Source organism: Homo sapiens, chromosome 13 (assembly GCF_000001405.40).
Source record: "Homo sapiens chromosome 13, GRCh38.p14 Primary Assembly".
Lineage (NCBI taxonomy): Eukaryota > Metazoa > Chordata > Mammalia > Primates > Hominidae > Homo > Homo sapiens.
The window spans coordinates 27,791,512-27,798,140 of record NC_000013.11 but is presented as its reverse complement, the minus strand read 5'-3'; the positions used below and the strand labels follow the sequence as shown (position 1 = coordinate 27,798,140).

At 56.7% G+C, this 6,629-nt stretch overlaps 1 protein-coding gene across 1 annotated transcript, besides 3 other annotated features; it reads right to left on the bottom strand.

Annotated features, from left to right (window-relative positions):
• Positions 435–1,117: an enhancer, noted in NCBI's record as "H3K4me1 hESC enhancer chr13:28371161-28371843 (GRCh37/hg19 assembly coordinates)". NCBI's record gives its function as "activates a minimal SCP1, AML or CMV promoter by ChIP-STARR-seq in primed H9 embryonic stem cells {active_cell/tissue: H9 hESC(primed)}" and the evidence as "EXISTENCE:reporter gene assay evidence [ECO:0000049][PMID:30033119]".
• Positions 2,517–3,319: an enhancer, noted in NCBI's record as "H3K4me1 hESC enhancer chr13:28368959-28369761 (GRCh37/hg19 assembly coordinates)". NCBI's record gives its function as "activates a minimal SCP1, AML or CMV promoter by ChIP-STARR-seq in naive H9 embryonic stem cells {active_cell/tissue: H9 hESC(naive)}" and the evidence as "EXISTENCE:reporter gene assay evidence [ECO:0000049][PMID:30033119]".
• Positions 3,373–5,658, bottom strand: GSX1 (GS homeobox 1). Its single transcript, NM_145657.3, has 2 exons — positions 5,039–5,658; positions 3,373–4,575 (listed from the first exon to the last, which is right to left on the bottom strand). Exons 1-2 carry the CDS (start codon positions 5,448–5,450, stop codon positions 4,193–4,195), a joined length of 795 nt encoding a protein of 264 aa, NP_663632.1. The 5' UTR covers positions 5,451–5,658; the 3' UTR covers positions 3,373–4,192.
• Positions 4,928–5,731: an enhancer, noted in NCBI's record as "H3K27ac-H3K4me1 hESC enhancer chr13:28366547-28367350 (GRCh37/hg19 assembly coordinates)". NCBI's record gives its function as "activates a minimal SCP1, AML or CMV promoter by ChIP-STARR-seq in naive H9 embryonic stem cells {active_cell/tissue: H9 hESC(naive)}" and the evidence as "EXISTENCE:reporter gene assay evidence [ECO:0000049][PMID:30033119]".

Genomic DNA, 6,629 nt, shown 5'->3' with positions numbered 1-6,629 from the left:
TAAATAATTCAGCATCTACTATGCGCCAGGCGCAGCTGTAGACACTGCAAATAACAACGGCAACGCCACCAACAACAATATTAGTTAACATTTATTGAAACATGGCAGACATTCTGCTTAGCATTTTATGGGAATTCTATCCATTAATATTGCACATCAACCCAGCAGAGGAACTGTTAACATAATCCCCACTTACAGAGGAAGAAACTGAAGTTTAGGAAGGACCAGTGGCTTTGCCCAAGATTAGGAAATGGTGGACACGGATTGCAAAGCCAGGCTTTTGCAGGGCCCACGCTCCTAGCCACTACACTGCACAGAGAAATGGACACTGTCCCTGAAATAAACTCAGGGACCTGTACGCAAATTACCAGGTTAAAAGGCAATTTCCAGAAAATATCATCCTGATAATTCAGTTTGGTTCTAATTTCACAATTCGCCTTGTGAGCCCCAAATTCCAGCTCAGAGCAGTGTGGTTTAATGGCTGGATTGGGTCTCCTCAGAGGAGGAGCCGGTAGTTCCAGGCCGCAATCACGCCCTTCCCTGGCGGTCAACCCAGGCGGCAGAGGAGAGGCTTTGACACGAGCGGAGGCCTCCCGGCCAGCTCAGCACAAGACGCAAACTGTTTCTGCATTCAGGTCAGAGGTTGCAGGGTGAGGAGTGTTTGAGCGAAAGTGTGCTGGGACTTGAACGCAGTCTCTGCTGGCGGCGGGATGCTTGAGAGCTCTGGTGCGCCGCAGCCGCCTCCAGGTCCCCAGCGCTGCGCTCCCGTCACCACCTTGGCAACAACTGGGATCGCCACAAGGAGGCTTGCTTTTTTCCTCCCGCTGCTCGCTAAGGCAGACTAGAAAGCTGAAAGCTTGGTCTTCCGGAAATGAATCCCTGGGAAGCCGAGAGGAGGAAACGTGCACTCCTGGGAAAACTGGCCCCACGCGGACCTGGCTCACAGCTGTGGATCTGCGGACTCTGGGGAGAAGCTGGGAACAGGAGGGACTCCTAGGCGGGAGAGGAGGGGGAGCTGGAGAAGAGGCGAGTGCGGGGAGAGCCGGGTGTGTGTGTTCATCCTTTCTATGTCTCCCACCGCCGTTTCCATCCCCTCCAAACTTGGTTCCCTGGCAGGCTCGAAAGTGCATTTCTGATCAAGATGCCTGACACTGAGTGCTGGCGAAGGCCTTTCCCAGGTGCACAAGACCACCCCCTCCTGTAATCCAGGAGAGGTGCTAGTTCTAAGCCGGTCCTTCAGACCCACAACGAACTCGTTGCCAGAAAATCGTGCTGCCGCCCGCCCCCAAATCCCAGCCAAACGGAGGCTGGGCCGGTCCTGCTGGAGCTAAGAGTGCACAACTGCACTCACCCTGGGGCCCTAGAGCAACATGCAAACGAGCAAAACTCAGCAAGCATCAGCCTCATCACTGATAGTAAAACAGTTGTGATTCTATTCACTGGTATGCACTAAAGCACCTTGGCTTCGTTCAGATTGGCCGTAGATTGGCACAATGTCGCCTCCTGGGATGGTGGAGAATTGGTCCCCGTCTAAAGTGAGGTTCAGACTGATGGAGATCCTCATCAGTCTAGAGCACAACTCAGATGCCTAGCTCCAGGAAGAACCGGCAAGAGTTTCTCCATGGGGAGCTAGATCGTGCCTGCCCTTGTTCCAGGGGAACTGGAGAGAGACCCTCCCACCCCCATCCTCAGCTTGATTTGAAGGAAAAGATGGAAGATTTTAGAACTAAGCCCCACAAGCTCCTGGTTCCGGGGCCTTGTAGTCTGGGTCTTCGATTAGCGGCTTCCCAGGTTCTCAGGCTTTTGGCCTCCGACTAGGAGTTACACCATCGGCTCCGCTGGTTCTTAGGCCGGTTAGACTGGGACTAAAATCACACCATTGGCTTTCCTAGTTCTCCTGCTTGCAGATGGCATATCACAGTAGTTCCTGGTCTCCAGAATAAACCTCCTCACATAACTACATACAGCCTATTTGCTCTTTTCTCTGGAGAACCCTGACTAATACAAGATCAAAAGTAGGTTTGTGGTTGCCTAGGGCTGGGATATAGTGAGAATTGGCAGAGACTATCAATGGGCATGATGGGGTTTCTCTTTGGGATGACAAAAATGTTTTTAAATAAGATTGTGTCGATGGTTGCACAATTCTGTGAATATACTAAAAGTTGTGGAATTGCACACTTTGAATGAATGAACTGGATGCTAATGTGAATAGCTCAATAAAGCCGTTTTGTGGGGGGGAGGAAATGAGCTTCAAAAATGTTAAGCAACCTCAGGTGGACCGTCTTTCCTGCTGGAAAAGACGCATTTGCTTTGCCTAGACACGGGGAGTTCAGCGCTCCCCAGGGTGTGTATGTGTGTGTGTGTCTGTGTGTGTGTGTAGGGGTCTGGCAGGAAAAGAAGGTCTATCAGGTTTCCTGGACACAGAATGGGAGCGGCGAGAACGCGGATATTAGCTTCCCAGGTCTGACTGCAGAAATACTGACTGCAGAAATACTCCTCCCGCAGCTGTGCGCTCTCCGTTTCTGCAGAACCTCACGCACTTCCTTCTCCTCATCCATCTTAGAGAGTAAAAAAACCCGCATATGTCCTCAAAGGGAGCTGGGGTGTGGATTCTAAGTCGTAGGGGGATATAGGATTTTAACGAGAATTGGTGAGAACATGAGGTCCCAGAGCCACTGGCTCCAGCTATGCAGAGTCCCTCTCGGGGACTCCCTGGGGCAGGATCACTTCGGATTCTCGGATTCCTTGCCCGGAATGTTCCGCGACCAGGGACTCGGCTAAGGGAATTTGCCTTAAAACAAAGAGAGGAGGGCCCTCTGAGAGAAGTCTGCACCATCCCGCAGAATGGAAATTTGTCCCTAACGAATCGTTATCAATCCAAGCGCAGTGAAGGACGGATTTCTTGTGCTTATGGAGGGAGTGGTTTCTGCCCTCCCGGCTGTTGGCCAGGACAGCGAAATGGTGAGGGATGGAGGTGGGGCTGGATCCCAGGTGAGAAGGAGGCGCTGCAGGGGTTGGGACCCATGGTGCAGTCCAAGGAGAGCGCTCTCCTTCCCTTCCGGCTTAGCTCTCTGAGCTCCGCGACGCTTGTGCGCCACGCCGGAGCGGGACAATCGTTAGCGCGCACCTGGCTGGCATGCAAGGCGGGCTCTCAGCGGAGCTGAGGGTTCCGAGAGGCACTGGCTGAGCTGTAAGGCGAGGAGCCGGCTCGGACCCTGCAACTGGATCCCCAACCCTTCCCAGAAGGGAGGCCCAATCCGGGTTGGCGCCTGTCTACTCCAGAGCGAAGGCCTCTGGGCTCAGAGCCACGGGCATTTCTAAGAAAAAAAAAAGTTTATTTAAAATTTTGTACATAAATAAATAAATAAATATCTTCTGGCATTGCAGAGGCCGTACAATTACACAGCTAGGCTGGGGCGGGCCAGAGTCTGGAGGGGGAAGAGTGGGGTCGCCAGCGGCGCAGAGCGGGGTCCTATGTTTAGAGGAAGGAAGAGCGTGTTGGAAACAGAGCAAATCTGTTTCCCCAATATGGATACTACGGGCGAAATTTATCATCTGTGAGAGGAGCCGTGGGGACTGAGGACAGCAAGGCCAGATCAAGGGACAAATGGACTGACTGAAGGAGGAGGCTCCCTGAGGAGGGGAAGGGAAAAGGAGAAGGAAAAAAAAAGTGGGGGTTCATAAATGTGTGTGTTGGCGGGCGGGGGCCGAGTGAATAAATGATCACAGGAAAGAGGTGGGGAGGGACAAAAAGACATTTTAAAAAGAGAAGCGAACGAGCATCCAAGGCCGCCGACCTTGACCGAGAGCGGAGGAGAGTAGAGTAAGCGAGGAAGCCCAAGCCAGCCCAGAGAGGGCGGGCTAGGAGGCGCCGGCTGCCAGCAAGGCGCTGCGCCAAGCAGGCTTGCGGGCGGGGGCCGCGGTGCTGCACTGCCCAGGAGGACTCGAGCGCTTACAGTGTTCACAGCTTGGAGTTGGCTTTGGACACGAGCGAGCCCTGGGGCGGGGACGCCATGGTCCAGTCTCTGCCAAGCTCTCAGCCCTGCCCAGGCCCGGGACCTCTGCAAAGCAGTGCCAAATCCATGCCAGGCAGTGGTTTGGCTGCGGGTGCCTGGGAATCAGCGCTGAGTCCCAGGACTAGTCTCCGAGGCGCAGGGAGGTCTTGGGGTGGGCGACCTAGGGAGACACGCGCCTAGGGAGTGACCGTAAGATCCCGGTCGTCCTTCCCTGAGGAGGACGGAGACATGGGCAATTCGTCGTCATCCTCGGAGCACTTGGCTGAGGAGAGCGATGCGCACTTGCAGCCTTGCGGTGCGCTCCCGCCACCACCGGCACCCCCGCCGCCGCCGCCACGATGGTTGCTGCCCTTGCCCTCCTTCTTGTGCTTCACTCGGCGGTTCTGAAACCAGATCTTCACCTGCTTCTCGGACAGATTCAGGTAGGTCGCGATCTCGATGCGACGTAGGCGGGACAGGTACATATTAGAAGCGAACTCGCGCTCCAGCTCTAGCAGCTGCGTGCTGGTGAAAGCCGTGCGCATCCTCTTGCTGCTGGGCAGCTGGTTAGAGCTGCTGTCTGGAGGTGGCAGAGCAGAGAAGGAAGCGATCAGACCTCTGTGCTGTGGACCCAATCCCTTGGTAGGCGGTCGCCAGAATCCTACGACTTTGACCTCTTACCCATCTCTTCGCCCCAACACAATCCACAGCAGAGCTACAGTGAGCGCTCCTTGTCCAGCTCCGAGATCCTGATTCTCCCGGAGTCATGCAGCCCTGGAACCCCTTCCCCTTCATGGAGAGCCTTGGATCCCAGCCCTCACTTACCCCGGCCCACACTCCAGGACCTGGACGTCTGCCCTCATCCGCCTCCTGGCGTTGTGTCCCGGCCCTCTATCCTCACTCCACCCCAAGCGCCCCCCTTAGTCCCCGACATGACCCTCACCGCCCCCAGAAAGCCCAGGGTCCCTCTTCCTCCATCTCTGGCTCTCCATCCTGCTTCGGATCACCTCTGCCCGGTCCCTCTGCGCGGCGGCCCCGCTTACCCACAGAGATGCAGTGGAACTGCCTGGGGTCAGGCAGCGGGTAGGAGGTCTGGTAGAGCGCGGCGGCAGCAGCAGCGGCGGCCGGGCCGTGAGCGACCCCGGGCGACACAGCAGAGTGCTGGCGGCCCAGGGGCGCGTGGCAGTACTGCGAGCCGAAGGGTGGGAAGGAAGCCTTGAGTAGAGGCAGCGCGGGCGGCCCGGGGGGCCCATGCAGCTGCGAGGCGGTGACGCAGAGCGGGCACACGCACAGCAGCCCAGCCTTGCGCGCGTGGCAGGCGCCAGGCGAGAGACCGTGCAGCGCGTGCGGCGGGGGCACAGCGTAGGGGAAGAGCGGCGGCGGGCTGCCCTCGGGCGCCTTCTTCTCGCCCGCCTCGCGCAGCACTAGCGAGTCCACCAGGAAGGAGCGCGGCATGGCCCCGGCGCGCGGTCGCCCCGCAGCCAGCCCGCCCTCTGCGCCCACCGCACCTTTCGGCTCTCCACGCGCTTTCCCTGGCCGCGGTATCCCGCAGCTGCCTCTGCCCAGGAGGCTGAACGCGCGGCTGAGACCTAGGCTGAAACAGTAGCCTCTGCTGCCGTGGGCACCGCCCAAAGAGCGCGGGGTGCTGGCCAGCGCTAGTGGTGCTGAAAGGCGCCGGCGGCGCGGCTTAAATAGGACTATTGCCATGTGATGGACTACGCCAGGAGCGGCCGGGGCCTCTCAATAGGGTTTTTGTGCCTTTTCTCTTGGCATTCACTCTGCACGCTTCCTCATTATTTCACTTGTTAACTAAATGAACTGCATAATGTACTCTATTCTTGTCAACCCCACCCACGCCGTAACAGGCGCCCTCGCCCCCTCCTCTCCCTTTTGCGGGTTTATTTTCTCATTCTCCCGCGATTTAATATTCTTTCCTTTCTCTTTATTTCTTACTCCCCTTTGGCTTTGCATTGGCCATCAGCCCGTTCACCTTACTGATTTTGCACCCCCGCGGCCTCTCTTCTACAGATCCCCATGGGCGCACACCCTCATATCCTCTGTCCACTTGGTCCTGGTCCCCTTCTTTCTATTATCGCCCTTACACCCCAAAAGTATGCTGTCTCCAGTCAGCCCTGTCAGCTCAGTGCCGTGCACCCCCGAACCTCCCTCCAGCCGGTCTCAGATTTTCCACCTGTGGAATCGCTTCTCTCTCTGCGTCGGAAGAAGGAGGACCGGGTTCCCGCGTGAAGGAGGCGTCTGTGGGGAGGGAGGAGAAGGGCTCATTATTCCTTATCCAGCCCTAGACCCATCGCTGTCCCTCGGTTTTCTCTAAGTTTCTCAAATAGTCTTAATTTTGGTGCTGCCTACGACGCCCAGTCTTTGTTCGGTAGATGCTGGCCAACCAGCCCTTTCCTTCAAATGACAGGGCCGTGGATGTAAAAGAGGAAAAACAGTCTCTGAGCGTTACGAACAGAGACAGGGAATGGGGAATGAAAGCCGAGATGGCGCAGATCTAGATCTCGCACCCCAGCACATGTGGCGAGTGCGGACTGTCTGCCCGCGCATCTTGCCCACACCCTGTCTACTGGAGCACACTTCCAGCAGTGCGCTGGGAAACCGCTGCCATCTCTTAGT

Coding starts and splice junctions, on each gene's coding strand:
- GSX1 (NM_145657.3), bottom strand. CDS start 5,450: ATGCCGCGCTCCTTCCTGGTGGACTCGCTAGTGCTGCGCGAGGCGGGC. Junction 4,576..5,038: donor GTTCCACTGCATCTCTGTGG/GTAAGCGGGGCC, acceptor TGCCACCTCCAG/ACAGCAGCTCTAACCAGCTG.